Source organism: Homo sapiens, chromosome 4, assembly GCF_000001405.40.
Source record: "Homo sapiens chromosome 4, GRCh38.p14 Primary Assembly".
NCBI classification, from domain to species: domain Eukaryota; kingdom Metazoa; phylum Chordata; class Mammalia; order Primates; family Hominidae; genus Homo; species Homo sapiens.
In genome coordinates, this window is record NC_000004.12 from 40,226,264 (window position 1) to 40,247,249 (window position 20,986).

Consider the following 20,986-nt stretch of genomic DNA (forward strand, 5'->3'; position numbering starts at 1 on the left):
TGCCTGTAGTCCCAGCACTTTGGGAGGCTGAGGCGGGCGGATCACCTGAGGTCGGGAGTTCAAGACTAGCCTGACCAACATGGAGAAACCCCATCTCTACTAAAAATACAAAATTAGCTGGGTGTGGTGGCGCATGCCTGTTATTCCAGCTACTTGGGAGGCTGAGGCAGGAGAATCGCATGAACCCAGGAGGTGGAGTTTGTGGTGAGCCGAGATCACGCCATTGCACTCCAGCCTGGGTAACAAGAGTGAAACTCCATCTCAAAAAAAAAAAAAAAAAAAGAAAAAGAAAAAAATATCTAACCGTGACTGTCAACTCCACAACATGGGCCCTTTGCAAACAATTGCATATCGGCAGCCTTACACACTGAAACTAAAACTAAATCACCTCACTCCTTCCAGTGCTCTGGGCTGCATATCCAGAACAAATTATTAAATGCCTTGACTTCTTTTATAGCTTAAGCAATCTGCAAGTTAAGGGGTTATCCTACTTCTAGAGAATGCTGGAAAGCTTAATGATTTCTCCTAAAAAGAGATGATCCATCTCGAAGGAAGTGGATGAGAAAGGGAACAGGTGTTTAAAAAGTATTTTTATATTAAAACTGGGAGCTGTGGCTGGGTGTGGTGGCTCACGCCTGTAATCTCAGCACTTTGGGAGGCCAAGGCAGGTGGATCACTTGAGGTCAGGAGTTCGAGACCAGCCTGGCCAACATGGCGAAATCCCGTTTCTACTAAAAATACAAAAATTATCCGGGTGTGGTGGTGCATGCCTGTAATTCCAGCTACTCGGGAGGCTGAGACACGAGAATCACTTGAACCTGAGAGGTGGAGGTTGCAGTGAGCCGATCTCGCCACTGCACTCCAGCCTGGGTGACAGTGAGACTCTGAAAACAAGCAAACAAAAAACAAAAACAAAAACAAACAAAAAACATTGACAGCTACCTTTTGAGTAAAAAGCCATCAGTACACAATAAAATCTTTCTGTGGGAAAAAGGCAAAGAAATAAAGGTTGCTACTGTGTGAATAATTTGGCATGTCTATCTAGCTATATGAGCATTGTGCTTAAAATATTAAGGAAATTAAGTATGGGCTATACAATGTAGGCATAATGTGTATCTGAAAAAATCCTGTGTAGATGGAAAGTGTGCTGACTCAGCTGGTTCAGTTTCTGGGCCTCGTGTGGGCCCCCAGCAGCTTAACCACTTCTCTCAAGTCCTTGGTTTCCTCATGGGAGAAATGAGTATGTTGAATTAGATGACCTTTCAGGCATCTCATCATGCTGAGTTTTTTTTCCGCAGCAGGGAACATGCTACTTTACATTCTGTTTAGGGTTTGCTCAGTGAAGGGGGAGTACCAGGAATCTGGGGAATTCCCAGAATACCTGGGCACTATATATATATATATATTTGCAACACATTTAATCATAAAAGATTAATATCCTTAATCTCTAAAAGGATTTTAAAAGTCATTAAGAAACAATGACCGTCTTGCTGGAAAAGTAGGTAAAACTGATGACTTACAAAAGAAAAAATATATGTTGTCAAGAAACAGATGAGAAAATTTTAATCTTCACCAGTTGTAAATGAAATGCAAATGAAAACAAGTCAAACTTGCAAATATTATACCCAGTGAGAGTTGATAGAGAGATGCAGTGATAGGCCCATACATGGAATATAAATTGGTTCAATTTTTTATCTCTTCTGTTCCAGCAGTTGCTCTCATATCTATTTATCCTAAAGAAATAATCATATATTTATATTAAAAATATTCACTCAATGTTGCTATAGTGAAAATAAGGAATTATTAAACTATCCAACAGTAGGCAATTGGTTAAATAAATGATGCTATATTTACATAATGAAATTTTATGCAGCCATTTTCTATGTCAAGAATCTTGACATAGAATGTTAAATTAAGACCTAAATGTTAAATTAAGAAAAACAAGATGCCAAACTGCATATAAAGTATGGTATTCTTAGTTTTGGAAAAAAATGATGCACTGAATAAAAAACCCCAGAAAAATGTATGCTAATATTTTACAGCTTTTGGTTCTAGGTGGTAACTGATTTTTATCTTCTTTGGATCAGTGTTTTCGAAATGTTCTATAATGTGTATGTACTACTTTTATAATCAGAAAATAGGATATATAGAAATGGTCTGGAAAAAATGAGGAGAGAAGTTACAATAGGGAGGTCATCTTCAATCTGTTTGGACCAGCAAGTAAAAGCAGGAAATGCTGTCCACCACCAATGGCTTAAATATGTGTGTTGGATGGTGGTGGTGGTTGGTGGTTCTGGGGTTGGGGATGGGGGGAACCTTGAGATGTGATGGTTTTCTTAGTCAGAGATGGTGCTTTACAGCTGGGAAGTATCTTGAACTTGGTGGAGGTCTATCCAGACATCAGGCAGATTTCATATTTTCACAGACAAAGGCTACGTTTACGTCTAAGGGGAAAACACAAAATACTAAGATAGAAACCTCCAAAGCCCCCTCACCTTTTCAGACAACAAGAACCCCCAGGGCAGAGGGTCTTCCTCACTCTCAGAGTTACTTTGACTTCTCATCTGGTTTCGTGTGGGTAATGCATTTTCACTCTTGAGTTTCTTTTCTTTTTAAGGTATTTTCATTATGACGTTTGTTCTTTTGCAAAGAGCTAATTCTGCAGAATTCTACCCAGGGAGGGCCGAGGGAAGTTAGTGAAGGTAACGATACCAGTTAGAAAGTTGAGTTTGGGTCATCTCAGGGGCCTCCTTTGGCCTCCTTTGGCTTATGTTCTAGAGATGGCCCTTACTTCCCAGGAATAGATAGTGATGTCTTACTGAGTTGCAGGTAGAGTCTGTATTGAAGCGCAAGATTTTCTTCCCTGACTTGTCTGGGAATCCTTACCCAGGACTGTGGCTTTCCTCTTCCATATCCCTCCACCAGGAGGCAGGCTCTAAGCCTCTGTGCTGTCATCCTTTTGCCACTTCCATGAACATGCCTTCAAATACTTGAAAAAGTCACTATAGCGTAAAGTATACTTTTCTCTTTTGGTGATGCTTTTCTGCATTTTCTCTATAACCAGAGAGTAAGAATAAAACTACAGCTTGGGACCTGGCGCGGTGGCTCACACCTGTAATCCCAACACTTTGGAAGGCTGAGGAGGGTGGATCACCTGAGGTCGGGAGTTTGAGACCAGCCTGACCAACATGGAGAAACCCCGTCTCTACTAAAAGTACAAAATTAGCTGGCATGGTGGCACATGCCTGTAGTCTGAGCTACTCGGGAGGCTGAGGCAGGAGAATCGCTTGAACCTTGGGGGTGGAGGTTGCAGTGAGTTGAGATCTTGCCATTGCACTCCAGCCTGGGCAACAAGAGTGAAACGCCATCTCAAAAAAAAAAAAAAAAAGAAAGAAAGAAAACAAAAGCCCCCACGCTTTAAAACTTTTAACACGAAAAGTTTTGAAGCTACACCAAAGAGGAGAGAATAGGCTAATATACCCCTGTATACCCACCACTCAACCTCAATAGTTCTTAACACTTTTCCAATCTTACTTTATCCATTGTTTTTGCTTGTTTTCTGGAATAATATAAAATAAATCCCTGACATCTTATTGATTTTCCTCATCAATACATCAACATCTCTATCAGATAAGGGCCTTAAAATACAATTGACAAATTGATTGATAAATAAGGACCTGACAATACAGTTATCACCTAACAAAATTAGCAATAGTTCTTAAATGTCATCTAATACCCAGGCCATATTCATATTTATTTGAATATCTAAAAGAATATAAAAAGGACTTCTTTTTTTTTTGAGACGGAGTCTCACTCTGCCATCCAGGCTGGAGTGCAGTGGCACGATCCCCCCTCACTGCGACCTCTGCCTCCTAAGTTCAAGCGATTCTCCTGCTACAGCCTCCTGAGTAGCTGGGATTATTAACCACCATGACGGGCTAATTTTTGTATTTTTAGTAGAAACGGGGTTTCGCCATGTTGGCCAGGCTGGTCTAGAATTCCTGACCTCAAGTGATCCACCTGCCTTGGCCTCCCAGAGTGTGTGAATACAGGTGTGAGTCATGGCACCCGGCCTGGACTTTTTTGAGTCCAGGCCTCCCTCTGTTGTCCAGGATGGAGTGCAGTAGTGTGATCTCAGCTCACTGCAGCCTCTGCCTCCCAGGTTCAAGCGATTTTCCTGACCCAGCCTCCCGAATAGCTGGGACTACAGGCACAGGCCACCAGGCCCAGCTAATTTTTTTTGTCTGTGTTTTTAGTAGAGATGGGGTTTCGCCATGTTGCGGCTAGTTCAAGACTATCCGCAACATGGCAAAACCCCATCTCTACTAAAAGTGATCCACCCCCCTTAGCCTCCCAAAGTGCTGGGATTACAGACGTGAGCCACCGCGCCTGGCTCTCAGCCTGGACTTTTAAAACTCTTATGAGTAAGAAGAAAGAAGAGGTGGCTTGGGGCTGAGGATAGCTATGAACAGCTGTGATTCAGGAGGCAGAATTATTCAGCTTTGCTCATCTCCTTTGCAAGGAGGAGAGAATGAAACAGACCTTTAAAAGGGAATCAGAAGTTGGAGTTAGTGCTTCTAGGAATTGTAAACGAATTCAGCAGTGTAGACCTAGAAAAATTTTCAGAGTCACTGATAGGGATTCACAGAAATTTTCTGTAGCTTCAAGGGACCAGCCCAGCCTTTTTGTTCCCTTCTGAGACCACATTAAAAAGACAAAACAACATACAGGAAGCACTTCTTCAAAACTGCGCAAATAGCACATGCGTATCGTGGACACATTTTTAAATGCACTTAAGCAAGGAGAAGAAAATGGGAATCACATACAACCCCAGGACCCAGAGACAAGCCAGTGGGCACCACTCTAGACATTTTCACAGCTCTGGAATCTCCTGTACAGGCCATTTTGAAACCTGCCATTTTGAAACCTGCTTTCCACCCATTTAGCTTAGGAAGCCTTTTCCTGTGTCTGTGAATAGACCCGTACGATGTTATGTTAATGGATTTCAATATAGGAGCAAATTGGTTTGTGCAAGACCCACCTATTCTTAGGTGATTTTTTTTTTTTTTTTTTTTGCTATACATAACATAGAAGAGAACATGTTTCTAGCTAAAGATTTCATGTCAAAGCTCATGGGAGAGGAAGATGACCCTGGCTACCCCACTTCTCTTCCCCTTCATTCAGTAAACGATAGCCTTGTCATATGACGGCAGCCTGTGGCTCTCCTGAAAGCGCTCTGTCTCTTCAGCAGGCCCCCCAGTGGGAAACACCCACCTCTTCATGGATCTCACAGATCTGTCTCTCTCCTCTGGTGCTGCCTATGTTTGCCAGCAGCTTCTCCCAGGCCCCCAGGCCTACAGCCTCAGAATCACCTTGTTTCAGGCCTGCGTGTCAGTTCCGCCTCGTGGATGTTGCTGGGGCTTCTCTCCCTCTTTCTTGTCTCACAGCATCTGCTCTGGATAAAGTCATCCTTGATCCCAACGGCAGGAGCCTCCCACTTGCCTCTTTGGTCTTTCCCACCTGCAATCCAGCCTAACCTGCCACAAGAATGAGCTTCCTACAGCCCAGCTTGATCTCCCATTCTGGGCTCCGCCTTTTAGCCCAACTGAGCTGCCTCTCACCCTTCTAGGTGCCCTAGGTTTTTCCTTCATTGCTCATGTTTCTCTTTCTTCTCTGTGCATCTCAAGCTCAGTGGTTTTAAGGGTCATGTTCTAATACCATGGCCTCCACAAAGCCTTCCTTGATTCCTGCTAGTTGCAGGTAGCACCTTTTTCCCTTTGTTGGCACTTTATTTGTTCCTCCCTCAGATCCTTGCTGAAGTTTATGTCTGGTGTTGCCATTAGACTGTAAGTTTTTTTGAAGGCAGAAGCTGTGTTTTCTTTAACTTGGCTTCAATGCCTGACACAGAGTAGGTGCTCAAAGAGGTTAGTAACATTTAAGTTAAAAGAGAATGGATTGGTAACAGTTTTTTTATTTTTTGAGACAGGGTCTTGCTTTGTTGCCCAGGCTGGAGTGCAGTGGTGTGATAATGGCTTACTGCAGCTTCAGCTTCCTGGGCTCAAGTAATCCTCCTGCCTCAGCCTCCCAACTAGCTGGGACTATAGGCATGCTCCACCATGCCTGGCTAATTTTTTTTTTTTTAGTATAGACTTGGTGGTGAGGCACCGGAGGCGGGGGGCAGGGGTCTCATCATGTTGCCCAGGCTGGTCTTGAACTCCTGGGTTCAGGTGATCCTCCTGCCTTGGCTTCCCAAAGTGCTGGGATTATAGGCAGGAGCCACTGTGCCTGGCTAGTAACATTTTATGTGCCAAAGACCCAGGGATTTTAATTGACTGTTAACTGATTTTAACTGGAGTCAGCTGGAGCTAATAGTGTGCTGTGGCTGCTGATGAGCAGAAGGCAACCTTGGATTGTATAAAATCACAGGCTCATCTCCCATAATCCCTCCACCGGCCACTTCCTGCTCCCCACTGAGCAGCCCACAGTGCAACCTCCCTGAACTTCTTCTACTTCCCCAAATCAAACATGTATTTTCATGCCCCTGGGCCTTTGCACATGCTTCTCCCCACCCCCAAAGCCTTTCTTCTCTGTTGCTTATCAAAATCTTACTCATCCTACAGATCAGCTGTCACCTTTTAAATGCGGGGCTCCCAAATCACCACTCCTTTCTCCCATCTCGAGAATTAATGCTCCCTCTCCTGTGTGTCTGTAGTACTGGTTCATATCATCATCATCATAGCAGCTACTATTTGCTAGTACCTGTTTTGTTCCAGGCACTGTTTTAGGCTCATGACATACACTAGCTCAGAACCATCTTACGACAACCCCTCAAGGTAAATTATAATAATGGTAAATACTTCTACGGTACTCACTCTGTGCCAGGCACTATTCAATGTGGTTTACATGCACTACCCATTTAATTCTGTACAACCACCTTGTAAGGTAGGTATCATTATTTTATTTTAATTTTTATTATTAAAAATAATACCATCAACCAACTCACACCAGGTAGGCACCGTTATTATTGCCTATTTACAATTAGGGAAGAGGGGCTTAGAGAAGTTAAGTGACCTTTATGAGATCACATAGCCAGTGGGGCTGAAAGGCAGTATGGTTCCAGAGTCTGTGCTGTAGACACTATGCATAGTTGACTTTGTTGTCAAAGGAACCGAAGGTCAGAGACGTTAAGTAATTGCCCCAAGGTCACACATTTAAGTGGCAGACATTGGAGCCAAACCCAAGCCTGCCTGACCCCAGGTCTACATGCCCCTTCTTACTCTGAACTACCTTTCTGTCTAGTAGGAGTTGGCAAACTTTTTTGTGTAAAGACCAAATTGAAAATATTTTAGGCTTGGTTGCAACTTTATGTTGCAGCGAGAAAGCAGTCATAGGCAACATGTCAATGAATGGGCATGACTGTGTTCCAATAAAATGCTATTTGTGAAACCTGAAACTTGAATTTCATATAATTTTCACATGTCATAAAATATTTTCCTCCTTTGGATTTTTTTCAACCATTAAAAAATGTAAAAACCACCTGTAATCCCAGCTACTTGGGAGGCTGAGGCAGGAGAATCGCTTGAACTTGGGAGGCAGAGGTTGCAGTGAGCCGGGATCATGCCACTGCAGTCCAGCCTGGGCGACAGAGTAATACTCCCTCTCAAATAAAATAAAATAAAATAAAATAAAATAAAATAAAATGAAATAAAATGTAAAAACCATTCTCAATTTATGGCCCTACAAAACCAGGTGGCGGGCTGGATTCAGCCATGCGTGGGCCATAGTTTGACAACCTTACTTTATAGCATCGTGACATTATAGAATGATTAGATAGGCATGATTTGCCTTTTTGCTCTCTTTTTCCTAGAACAGTTCAGCTCAGGCCCCAAACATGGATACCCAACTGAGAAAACACGAGTCTTTGGTAAACAAGATCCACATTCCCTAAAAGAAGTTCAGAGACCACGTGTCCTTCCCTGAGCACACCTCTTGGGGTTGCACCCTCAACTCCAAGCAGTTTTTCAGGCTATTCCAACTATTTTGAGAAAAGAAGTAGGAAATGCATTTCCCCATCACTTTAGTTTTGAGATGAGTTTCTAAGGGTGCTCTGGGTGGTTGCCTAGCTGGCTAGTCTTGTATTTGACTCTGAAATTGAACCGGACTAAGAACTCTAGACCTCAGGCAACGATTCCTTGATTGTGCTCCTGGGAGTGGAAGAGACCAGTCAGGGCAGAGTTGCTGGACCAGAGGAGGGGAAGGGGACCACGGTCCCGGTGTGATTGGGGACCAGAGGGCAGGACACACGGCTCAGAGAGGCTTCAGAGCTTAATATGTTGAAATAATAAAAGGCTTCAGGACTTGGCAATGTTTTGTTTTAATTCAACTATAAAGGGGTTTAATATGCTTCAGGCTTAGGAACATAAATACTGCTTAACATTTTTTATTCTGGTGAACTTATGTTAAAAGTTGCAAATCAGCATCTTTTTTTTTTTTTTTTTTTTTTTTTTGTAGAAACAGGGTCTTGCTATGTTGCCCAGGCTGGCATTGAACTCCTGGCCTCAAGTGGTCCTTCCACATCAGCCTCCCAAAGCACTGGGATTACAAATGTGAGCCACTGTGCCTGGCCAAGCAAACCAGCATCTTGCAAACAAACTTTCAGAACAAAATCTGTTTCAAACAGAGATGATCTATGTATGAAAGTACACTGACTTAAAAATGATTTCTTTCTGTGGTTTTGAGAGAAAATCTAGTGATTATTTGTAGCAATTAGCAACACAGTAGGGGGAATTATTAAGATAGGATTCAGATTGGTGAAATAAATTCTTGCAAGTAAAACTTAAGATAAAATGCCACTTGAGAAGATGTTCACCACAAAGGTGGTAACCTTATTTTTAAAAATGCTTTTTATTGAAGTTTTATCTACATACAGGAAAGTGAACACCACGTGGGTATACAGCTTGGTGGATTTTCACAAACTGCACACACTTGTGGAACCAGCATCCAGATCAGGAAGCAACAGATGTCCTTTAAAACATCAAGAACTGGGCCGGACATGGTGGCTCACGCCTGTAATCCCAGCACTTTGGGAGGCCAAGGTGGGTGGATCACCTGAGGTCAGGAGTTTGAGACCAGCCTGGCCAACATGGTGAAACCCCGTCTCTACTAAAATTACAAAATTAGCTGGGCTTGGTGGCATGCACCTTGTAATCCCAGCTACTCGGGAGGCTGAGGCAGGAGAATCACTTGAACCCAGGAGGTGGAGATTGCAGTGAGCTGAGATTGCGCCATTGCATTCCAGCCTGGGCAAAAAGAGCGAAACTTCATCTCAAAAAAAAAAAAAAAAAAGAAAAAAGAAAAAAAAAAAGCAAGAACTGGTTTATTTTCAGGAAGAGAATAGGAGTAGAGACCTGGTCTGAAGAGCTGGGTACAACCTAGGGCAGTAGCTCATGCCTGTAATCCCAGCACTTTGGGAGGCTGAGGCAAGAGGATTGCTTGAACCCAGGAGTTGGAGACCAGCTTGGGCAACATAGTGAGACCTTTGTTTATACAAAAATAAAAAATAAAAATAATTAGCTGGTCATAGTAGCACGCAACTGTAGTCCCAGCTCTTCAGGAATGTGAGGCAGGAGGATTGTTTGAACCCGGGAGGTCCAGGCTGCAGTGAGCTGTGATTGTGCCACTGCACTCCAGCCTGGCACACAGAGTAAGAGCCTGTCTTAAAGAAAAAAAAAAAAAGAAAAAAAAAAGGGGTGGCTAGGAAAAATGTCTTGAAACTGGGTCTGCATAGAAAACAACTTTGTTTGAGATGCCTTGGAGAAGGCTGATGGGAATTACAGTGTGTGTTGGTGACACTTGGAGCTGCCAATGCTTTGAAGTCAGACTCTAGTTGGGTCTAACTTTGCCTCTGCCATTCCTTGCTGTGTGACTGTGGCCAAGATTGCCAACCTCTTGAAGCCTCTGTGATTGTGACATGATAATCTCTAAAATACAGCATCTCTTGTTCACGATTATTTCCTCAGAACCTGTTACAGTGCCTGCCATACAGGACACCCTAAGTAAATGTCTTTTTTAAAGGACATGAATAAAACAATTAATAAATAATATGTGCAAAGTACTCAGTATAGTACTTGGAAGATGTTCAATAAATGTAAAATCAAGTCACAAAATGACCCATTGACCCAGTAATGCCACACTTGTGAATATACACATTCCCAAGAAAATCATCCCCCATAAAAGTAACTTACCGGCTGGCTGCGGTGGCTCATGCCTGTAATCCCAGCACTTTGGGAAGCTGAGGCAGGTGAATCACGAGGTCAGGAGATCGAGACCATCCTGGCCAACATGGTGAAACCCCATCTCAACTAAAAAAATACAAAAATTAGCTGGGCGTGGTGGTGTGCTCCCGTAGTCCCAAGCTACTTGGGAGGCTGAGGCAAAAGAATTGCTTGAACCCGGGAGGTGGAGGTTGCAGTGAGCCGAGATCGTGCCAGTGCAGTCCAGCCTGGCGACAGAGTGAGACTCCATTAAAAAAAAAAAAAGTAACTTACCTATACCTTACGTATATAAAGTTATATCTCTGCACATACACTTATGTACACATATATAGCTAATTATGGTGAAATACGGAACTAACCCAAAGACAGTGAGGAATAGGTGTGCAGTTAGGAATTGTCGAAACCGTGGAAATCTATTTAGCTGAAATCTAGCCAGTGTGTAGACAATGTTGAAATTTTAAAAAGCTTAAATCTGAAAAATATTTAGAAGATATATACAAGTGTCTATTTGTTAGATAGTGAAAACTAGTAAGGTTTTGGAGTGAAAAAGTTTAGAGATGGTTACACCTTTTTTTTCTAAAGTTGCTTAAGGTTTTTGGAATTGCTTCCCTTTCCCCACAAGAACAAAGCACTGGCCGGGTAAGGTGGCTCACGCCTGTAATCCCGGCACTTTGGGAGGCCGAGGTGGGTGGATCACCTGAGGTCAGGCGTTCAAGACCATCCTGGCCAACATGGCAAAACCCCTTCTCTACTAAAAAATACAAAAAAATAGCCGGTCATGGTGATGGATGCCTGTAGTCCCAGCTACTCAGGAGACTGAGGCAGGAGAATCACTTGAACCCGGGAGGTGGAGGCGGCAGTGAGCCAATATCGTGCCACTGCATACAAGCCTGGGGGACAGAGTGAGACTCCGTCTCAAAAAAAAAAAAAAAAGAACAAAGCACTCAGCCCCACTTCCCAGCTGGGGAGCCCCATGGCCTCATCCATCCTGAGAAAGGCCTGCTTTTGCTGTGATGTCCCTGCTAGGCTATGAAGGGGCTATTGAAGGTGCTGGCTAGAGATGGGTTGCTGAGGAGCATGGTGACTTCCTGGCCATTTAATTGTGTTAGATTCATGGTGGAATCAATTTTCTTAGTGAATGAATCAGCTGCTACCAGCACAGGTCCTTTGTCCAAAGCTCCTTGAGGAGGATGACATTTAGATGTATTCTCTGTAATTGATAGGCCATCCCCAACTGGCGATGGACTCATATTTTTAAAAAAAGACAGCTGAGGATTCCATCAGCATTTTGAAGTAAGCTACCTCCACCAAAGCCCAGCTAACTTCAAACCTGCAATAATAACAATCGGTTAATAATAGTCATAATTTCACTTTAGCTCTATATTATGATGTATTGTTCTAAAAAGACTTTCTCGCAAAACCAAGAAGAGAGCATTTCCAAATGTACAAAGTATTGTAAAAGTACAAACGGAAATTATTTCTGTATTGTTATCATTTCCACCTGATCCGTATGAGCTCACAGTGAAGAGGGCAGGGCAAATCTGATTCCATTTTACAACTGAGAAGACGAGCCATTTCATCAGAGTGGTGGTTTCCATGTCAAATGTACATAGAGGTATTTTGGGAACACAGCAGGGGGCATCTGATCTGGCGGGGGCATCTGATCTGGCGGGGGCATCTGATCTGGCAGCGGCTGGGGAGCACTGGTGGTCAAGGAAGGCTTTCCAGAAGGAGTGGGAGTTGGGGGCTGAGTGAAGAGCAGGTCTTTCCAGCCAATAGGATGGCACAGAGCGAGCCTGTGGAGGGCGTCAGGTGGAGAATTGGTGTCTGTTAGCATGGCCGTTAGAATTGAGGCCAAAAGGAAACCAGGATTTCCTACTGAACAGCCCTCAGTTCTCCGGAGGAGGAAATGGGTTAGGATGTCTCTTCCCCTAATCCCTCACTTGTGTCTATCTTGGTCTCTTTGCCAGAGTGGGCAGAAGGGCCCAACTCTGTTGCTTTTGCAACGTGAAGCCTCCCTTCCCTCCTCTGTCTCTGTGCGTGTGAACCCTGGAGGCCTGTTGAGGGACCCTTTTCTATGAAAATGGTAGAAAGAGGAAAAAGGGCAAGAGCATCAAATTATGGAGACCCCGGAGGCTCTGGAGGTGAAGGCTCATTAATTCTATCTGATTCAAAGCCTGAGAAGAACGGCCTGGAGGGCCACTCAGTGTCATCACCCATGACGCTCTCGTAACTCTTCCGTACGAAGAGACATACTTGGGCCACTCTTGCCAGTTAGCCACTTGGGAAATACCACGGAAGACTCACTTTTTTTCACCCAGAAGCCCTTTTAGGGAGAATTTCTTTAGGAGAAATTCCGCTGAATTCAAGCCCATCAGACTCACATGCTGATGATGTAACCCGCGGCAGCTCACTCCTGGACACATGTGACCCATTCTGAAGATTATCTGTCATGTCCTTATAGGGTATGGCTCTGCCTTGGACTGCAGCTCCTCCCCTACCTCCCCTCCTCCCACAGCTCCATATTTAGGCATCTGCCAAGGCTCCTCCCCTCCTCAAGGCTTATCATCCATCTTTACTGCCGCACAATGATGCGGTGGTTTGTTTTCGTATTCACTGCAGCAGGTAATAAATGTTCCTACTTTGGCTTCAGTTTTAATAAAACTATCAGAAACTGCTTTACAGTTTGGGAAACTGAGGCCCTGAAAGCTGACTTGATGGGCCACTTGGGGTCAGAACTGGCTGGCACATGAGGGTCACTTGATTGAACAGAGACTTTTTCTCCTTTCTGACTCTCTAGGTAGCAAAGCTTAGACAGGAGTCTCTCTCTTTCTTTCTCTTTTTGTAGCCATGTCTGGGTATGAGACACACAGAACACCCTTTGCTGGAGAAACCTCTTTTGTGCTACTTTAAATTCCCTACTTAGAGTTAATAACTGTTTATCATTATATTTAGTAATTGTTATTTGAGAATGTTATTAATAGGGACTACTTACTGTGTGTTTACTATGTACATACAATGTGTTTATATTATGCACCTGCTAAGAATTTTGCACTCTAGGCCAGGCACAGTGGCTCACGCCTGTAATCCCAGCACTTTGGGAGGCCAAGGTGGGCAGATCACTTGAGCCCAGGAGTTTGAGAGCAGTCTGGCCAACATGGTGAAACCCCATCTCCACTAAAAATACAAAAATTAGCCAGGCGTGGTGGTGGTGCCTGTAATCCCAGCTACTCGGGAGGTTGAGGCAGGAGAATCACTTGAACCCGGGAGTTGGAGGTTGCAGTGAGCTGAGATCACACCACTGCACTCCAGCCTGAGCAACAGAGCGAGACTCCGTCTCAAGAAAAAAAAAAAAAGAATTTTGCACTCTCAGCTCTAAGCACACTTAATACTCTCAACAACCTGTGATACAGATATAATATTATTACATTGATTTTACAGAGGAGGAAACTGAGGCTTAAGGAGGTTAAGAAAATCTTCCAAGTTCGTCACATAGGTAGTCGGTTGGGCAGCTCAGATTCAATGCCAGGTCCACCTGACTTTAAAGCCCATGACCTTAACAATTATGCCTTATTAATTTCCTTTTGCAGATATTCACTCAGGAAATTTGGCTTTAGCTCAGTCAGTTTATTGGAAAGTTTATTTAAATAACCAAAAGGGCTGAGTGTGGTGACTCATGCCTGTAATTCCAACACTTTGGGAGGCTGAGGCGAGAAGATCACTTGAGCCCAGGAGTTCGGGACCAGCCTCAGCAACATAGTGAGACCTTGTCTCTACACAAACTAAACAAAATTAGCTGATCTTGGTGGTGAGTGCTCATAGTCCTAGCTACTTGGGAGGCTGAGGTGGGAAGATCACTTGGGAGGTGGAGGCTGCAGTGAACCACCATTGTACTCTGTCTCCAGCATGGGAGATAGAGCAAGACTCTGTCTCAAAAAATAAATAAAGGTGGCCAGTGGCTGTGTGTGGTGACTCACGCCTGTAATCCCAGCACTTTGGGAGGCCAAGGCGGGTGGATCATTTGAGGTCAGGAGTTCAAGACCAACCTTGGCAACATGGTGAAACCCTGTCTGTACTAAAAATACAAAAATTAGCTGGGTATGATAGTGCATGCCTGTAGTCCCAGCTGCTCGGGAGGCTGAGGCATGAGAATTGCTTAAACCCAGGAGGCAGAGGTTGCAGTGAGCCGAGATCGAGCCACTGCACTCCAGCCTGGGCAACAGAGCAAAACTCCATTTCAAAAAAATAAAATTAAAATAAATAAATAAATAAATGTCCGAAGCATGTACATTTTTCCTAATTCTGGCCCTGCTACACTGGGGTCAAATAAAACTTAAGGCCAGGTGCAGTAGCTCATGCCTGTAATCCCAGCACTTTGGGAGGCTGAGGTGGGAGGACTGCTTGAGCTCAGGAGTTTGAGACCAGCCTGAACAATATAATGAGACCCCCACTCTATTTATAAAAAATAAGATAATTAAATTAAATTAAAAAAATAAAACATAGAAATGTCTTAAGAGGTCTTGGCTCTGGACTAAGTCACAAATGCATATATTTAAGTTGCCTCTTGGTCTAAGGATCTAAAGTTTAACGGAAGCCTATGGAGCCCTCAAGGAGTCCTTCCTCAAAGGTCTAGTCTCAAATGGGGTCCATGACCACGGTGTGTGACAGTAACCTGGTGTGAGTCTGGAGAAAGAGTCCAGGTAAACATTTGGCAAAGTGGTCCCTCCGCTATGGACATTCAGGATTTGGCATTTCAGATAGTAGTGAAATGGATAACTCGATGGCTTCCTATAATTCCCAGATGCCAGGTTTTGTGCTAAATCAGACTCTCCACATTCTGAATCCTTACAGTGATCACATGAGGAAAGTCCTTTTCTTATTTTCATTTTTATGAGAAAACCAAGGTTCAGAGAGGTTAAGTAATTTGGCCAAGGTCACCTGGCTTACATGTGTTTAAAAACATGAATATGTATCATGTGAATTATTTATATGGCTAACTCATTTGCAAAAGCTATTAGGTATAATTAAACAACAGGGACAGTGGGTTGACGAGGATAAAAATGTCTTGGCAGCCGGACGCGGTGGCTCACACCTGTAATCCCAACACTTTGGGAGGCTGAGGCAGGAGGATCCCTGAGGCCAGGAGTTCATGACCAGCCTGGGCAACATAGTGAGACTGTGTCTCTACAAAAAAAGCAATAAATTAGCCCGGTGTGGTGGCACACACATGTAGTCCCAGCTACTCGGGAGGCTGAGGTGGGAGGATCTCTTGAGCCCAGGAGGTCCAGGCTGCAGTGAGCTGTGATGACACCACTGCACTCCAGTCTGGGCGACAGAGCGAGATCCTGTCTCAGAAAAAAGAAAAAGAAAAAATAAATGTTTTGGAAAGGAATGCCAGGATTTAGAGAAGTGACTTAAAAATTATGTTTAAATCAGACGTGTAGGTTTGCTTTGTATTGCCCTGCATGACACATGTCAGGAAGATCGCCAGGGAGGGGAGGTTACAAGCCCAGGTTGCAGGAATAACCTTTACTCTGAATTTTGGTCTGAAAGACTTTTCCTTCGTCTGGAGCTGGGCTGGCCTTGTGATATTGTGCCACAGCAGACACGACACTGTCTCCAAGGCGGAGCTCATTGCCTGGGGCTTTCCCACTGCACTGAATGAGAATTTATTTGGCCTTTAATGAAATTCAGATTGTCCCATTTATGCAGTCCTCTGTTTAAGTGACAGGCACTGAATATGGTTGCTTTCAAGCAAGTTATTTTGTTTAACCAGGGGCCTAGCGGAGTTCGGGATACACAGATGGCCACCAAAAATGTTAAAAGAAAGAAATAACTTAATCCTCACAGCATCTCTGAGAAGTGGTTCCTAAATTTATCACAATCTTGCAGATGTGTAAGCTGAGGTGTGGAGTTCAAGCAGCGTGCTCAAAGCCATGTGTAGGTGACAGTGCCTGATTTCAGATGCAGATAACTCTAAGGCCAGTCTGTTGCATCTCTTACCAGTTTTTGGAAAAACCTCAAGGGAAAAACCACAGCAAATTTTTAGAGTTCTAGTAATTTCTTTTCCCCTATTACAACACATATTCCCATAAACCAAGGACTGTGTGATTAGTCAATAAACAAAAAGAAATGCATATAGTATCTGTCGCTCATAACGTTCTTGTTTCTTGCAGTTTCCAACATGGCTAGATCCATCAGAAACTGAAGCCGTGGAGAACGCTCTCGGGGCCTTTGCCACTTCTTGGAGTAGAAGCCGACAGAGAGCTGTTTGGAAACTTCTCCTTCACACACCAGGTTGCTACTGAGGTCTATTTCATGTTGCAGTCAGAGCAGTTGCTTGTGTTTTTTAGTGCTTGAGTGATTTTACAGATAAAGTCAGCTTCTGCTTCTTGACCGGGAGGCATTTGTGTGTGTGTGTGTGTGTGTGTGTGTGTGTGTGTGTGTGTGTGTGTGTGTTGGGGGAAGACAGATCTAAGCTCTCCCTGTGAGGGGAAGAGTGGATTGCACAAGCGGGGTTGGATGGCTACACTGAGATTACCCCACATTTAATCAGTTTGCCAATGAGGAAGCCCCTTATCTTCAAAAAAGGCAAGAAAGAAAGAAAGACTTCATTTTCCCCCTTCTCTTTCTGTTCCAGTTGAAGACTAGGCTTTGGAGGTTTTCAAAGCAGACGGTGCTTGGATGGGCAGGGAGAAGTAACATTCTGCAAATCGCCGTCAGAGGTCCTGAGGACACAGACCTACCTGGCTTGCATTCCCCTTGCTGAATGGCGTGTGCTGCAGCTGCCCACTGAGGGCTCTTTTCCCTGGGATTCTGGACTTCAGAGTAGGACAGCAGGCTGGGAAGATGCTGAGTTCCATCAAGTGCGTGTTGGTGGGCGACTCTGCTGTGGGGAAAACCTCTCTGTTGGTGCGCTTCACCTCCGAGACCTTCCCGGAGGCCTACAAGCCCACAGTGTACGAGAACACAGGGGTGGACGTCTTCATGGATGGCATCCAGATCAGCCTGGGCCTCTGGGACACAGCCGGCAATGACGCCTTCAGAAGCATCCGGCCCCTGTCCTACCAGCAGGCAGACGTGGTGCTGATGTGCTACTCTGTGGCCAACCATAACTCATTCCTGAACTTGAAGAACAAGTGGATTGGTGAAATTAGGAGCAACTTGCCCTGTACCCCTGTGCTGGTGGTGGCCACCCAGACTGACCAGCGGGAGATGGGGCCCCACAGGGCCTCCTGCGTCAATGCCATGGAAGGGAAGAAACTGGCCCAGGATGTCAGAGCCAAGGGCTACCTGGAGTGCTCAGCCCTTAGCAATCGGGGAGTACAGCAGGTGTTTGAGTGCGCCGTCCGAACTGCCGTCAACCAGGCCAGGAGACGAAACAGAAGGAGGCTCTTCTCCATCAATGAGTGCAAGATCTTCTAAACCCCAAGAGACTTCACACAACACTTATGTATGCACCCCAAAGACTAATGGGGAGAGGGAGGGCCGGGAAGCCAGGAAAGCTTGGTGTTTTCTCTGGGTACACCCCAAGCAGCGTCTCCTTTTGGATACAGTTATTGATGAGGCTTGGCCACTGGATGTTTTCACTAACTACACTCTACAAGTGAACTCCTTGCCCAGGCCAGTTAGAAAATCCCTTGGGGAACTGTGATGAATATTCCATCTTTGATTAAAAAAGTGAAATAGTCTCCATAATTTTGGACGATGAAGTGAGTTTTTCAAAGAATTCCATATTTAAAGACACATTTTATTTAACTAATAACAAAATGTATTGCTTTTGTATATATTTAGTTTTCACACTTGGAAAATCTTTTCCTACATCCTCGAAAACATAAACTCCTCTGTGAGTGAAATGCTTGTACGAAGCTCTGCCATATGTTTGTAGTGTTATTATTTTCACCTCAAGTAGAAAGTCTGTTGAAACCACTTGGCTGCTGGATTTAAATGGGTAATCAAATTTAAAAATGACCATAAATGAATCTTTGCAATTTGTTTTCTACTTACCTGTTATTCACAGTTGGATATAAAATACAGTTCCATAAGATATCCTAATACTGCCTAATGATTTTAAAGTTATCACTATATTTTTCTGAAATGATAAAACATCATTCATTTATTTACTATATTGTCTTTCACTCAACTCCAGTTATGCACTAAATATTCTCCTCTCATTCACCAAGATTGATTGAAACACCATCTTTCAGGTAGAGAATCAGACTGCTCCAAGCAATGGCAACAGAACTTGGAACAGAAGCAAGAGAGTGTCACTTTCACTTCTGGTAGGGTGGTTCCCAGGCGACTGCAGGTCCTGTGAAAGACAGGGGTCTCAAAGTTCTGTTAATTTCACAAATTTGTTATAAATTTGTCTAAACTGAGCTGTTGTGGCAACATAATTTATGAATCGTAAGGTCTAGTTAGGCTTATTGGGGGGATATCTACATATATATGTGTATGTAAGGGAAAAAAGGTAGAATTTACAGCCTTCAAAAAAGAAAAATCAAATTCCAAGCACAGGAATAAGAAAGCTATATAGCAACTGCTCAGAGAACAGAAAGTTATCAGGGGAAATACTGAATAAATAGACACACACATACTCGCACACAACCTGCTCTCACACACACAACTCAAACCTCATTCTATCGAATAGTTTAAAAGCAATGGTGTTGCTCATCTGTTAAAGTGGAGAACAGAGGACTACATAACTTAAGGTAGAAATTGCAAAGGCTGGGTTGGGCAGGGCGTGGTGGCTCACTTTGGGAGGCTGAGACGGGTGGATCACGAGGCCAGGAGTTCAAGACCAGCCTGGCCAACATGGTGAAACCCCGTCTCTTCTAAATATTAGCTAAAAATTAGCTGGGTGTGGTGGCACATGCCTGTAGTTCTAGCTACTCAAGAGGCTGAGGCAAAAGAATTGCTCGAACCTGGGAGGCGGAGGTTGCAGTAAGCCAAGATCGCGCCACTGCACTCCAGCCTGGGCAACAGAGGGAGACTCCATCTCAAAAAAAAAAAAAAGAAAAGAAAAAAAAGAAAGAAATTGCAAAGGCTGGCACCTAGATAGATCAATCAATTACTGCCCTAATCAAAACTTAGAAACACTCTGAACCACCTTTATGAAGGTACATCATTGTTATGGGGTAACGTGACTATTACACACAAAAGGTAAGGTGGCTGGCATAAATGACTTTGATTAGAATTATGTTGACATAGCCAAACCAGTTTCTCTGTTCCCTTGTGTGGTCAATTCCTTACAGCTATAATCAGTATCAAAAACCAAATGTGTGCTCATTCACACATTGCTTTCTCCTTCTCTCTCTCCTCCTATCCACAGCCAGTAAAAGGCCTGGGACCGGGGTCTTGATCTCTGGTGGGAGGATTGCCTCGGTTCCCTGGGGCTGACACAGCTGCCTTCACTCAGACTTCTCTGCTCTCCAGGCGGTGGCTTGTACTCACCTCTAAGTCACCCGCCTCCCTTGATTGGAGAGCCCGTGTCTCTAGTTCTCAGCTCAGGGTTGGGGGGCTTGAAAGATGACCGGGCAGGGGAGGGGAAGGGATCTCATATCCTCTGATATCCCTGGGATTCTCTTCTTCTCCCTCAACCCACAGAGTCTTAAATCACGGATGCGGGTGTTCAGGGCCAGCCTTTGCCATGAGAGGTATTTAACATGTCAGTGGGAAGGAATTTCTATTCACTGCAGTGGGCTGTCCCCCAGGCTTTTCTTTCTCTCTTGTTGAAGAGAGATGGGGGTGGGTATCTGAAAGTGGGAAGGGCCACCATACATGATCCTAAGTGAAGGAAGAGGAGGTGGTTCCACGGTGGCAGCAGAGCAGGAAGGGAAGGCCAGAGAGGGCACACTCAAATGGCTTTGCTGTCACCTGGGCAAAGACACACAGGTGAGACCTCCACCTGTTGGCGGGAGCCAAGCTTAACAGCTCCGTCTGGGAACTCTCATACCTGAGACCAGGAATCTATGTGTAAACCCTTTCCAGTGGCAGAATCTGGCAGAAATGGAGCCGATAAGTGTCTGTCTTCCTGCTAGACTGCTGTTCTTGAAGGTAGCACTGCCTCCTGGTCTCCTCAGTGTCCCCAGGGCTCAGCACAGGGAAGGCAATGGAGGTAAAGTTGTGTTAAACTGAAATGGAGAGAAAGACAGTAATTGGGCTTCTGTGCCACACAGTGGTTATAGAAAGCAAGCAGACCCTCACCAGCCTTGTAGGGGTAAGAAGAAAAATAGGTCATATGGGTAGAATCCGTGTGTTGTGTGTTCTACATAAGCACATACTTACTTTTGCCTGCCTAGATGCAGACACAGGTTTCTTATACTTCAAAATTTGTGGTACCTTTTTGTAGACTATTGCATATCGATTCTTAACTATTCCAAGTAGCAGCATTAAATATGTTCTTGATGACATTAAAGAGTTAATTTTCATGGTCGGGTAGTTCATTCTTGTCTCTGTCAGCCTGGGCTGCTATAGTGGAAAACCATAGACTAGGGGACTTCAATAACAGAAATTTATCTCTCACAGTTCTGGAGGCTGGGAAGTCCAAGGCAAGGGACAGCATGGTTGGGTTCTGGTGAGACCCCTCTGCCTGGTTTGCAATGGCTGTCTTCTTGCTGTGTTCTCACATGGTAGAGCAAGAGATCATCTTTCTGGTGTTTCTTCTTCTAAGGATAATAATCCCATTCATGAGGGCTCAACCCTCATGATCT

The 20,986-nt window shown here is 44.2% G+C and overlaps 1 protein-coding gene across 16 annotated transcripts in view, besides 2 other annotated features; it reads left to right on the top strand.

The window, feature by feature from the left end:
* The window catches only part of RHOH (ras homolog family member H), a 55,888-nt gene extending 35,184 nt beyond the window's left edge, over nucleotides 1-20,704 (top strand). For 12 of the 16 annotated variants that reach the window (NM_001278368.2, XM_047415674.1, NM_001278365.2 and 9 more), the window contains 2 exons: nucleotides 16,451-16,571; nucleotides 16,915-20,704. In NM_001278368.2, the coding sequence (NP_001265297.1) occupies nucleotides 17,124-17,699 (576 nt within the window). In that variant the 5' untranslated portion in view covers nucleotides 16,451-16,571; nucleotides 16,915-17,123 and the 3' untranslated portion in view covers nucleotides 17,700-20,704. Of the gene's footprint in view, nucleotides 1-8,913; nucleotides 9,096-12,831; nucleotides 13,385-16,450; nucleotides 16,584-16,914 lie in introns of those variants that run through there. The other 4 variants (NM_001278364.2, NM_001278359.2, XM_047415675.1 and 1 more) reach the window with 4 other exon arrangements.
* Nucleotides 1,266-1,315: an enhancer, noted in NCBI's record as "active region_21481". NCBI's record gives its function as "activates an Ori minimal core promoter by ATAC-STARR-seq in GM12878 lymphoblastoid cells {active_cell/tissue: GM12878}" and the evidence as "EXISTENCE:reporter gene assay evidence [ECO:0000049][PMID:35858748]".
* Nucleotides 11,904-12,895: an enhancer, noted in NCBI's record as "H3K27ac hESC enhancer chr4:40239787-40240778 (GRCh37/hg19 assembly coordinates)". NCBI's record gives its function as "activates a minimal SCP1, AML or CMV promoter by ChIP-STARR-seq in primed H9 embryonic stem cells {active_cell/tissue: H9 hESC(primed)}" and the evidence as "EXISTENCE:reporter gene assay evidence [ECO:0000049][PMID:30033119]".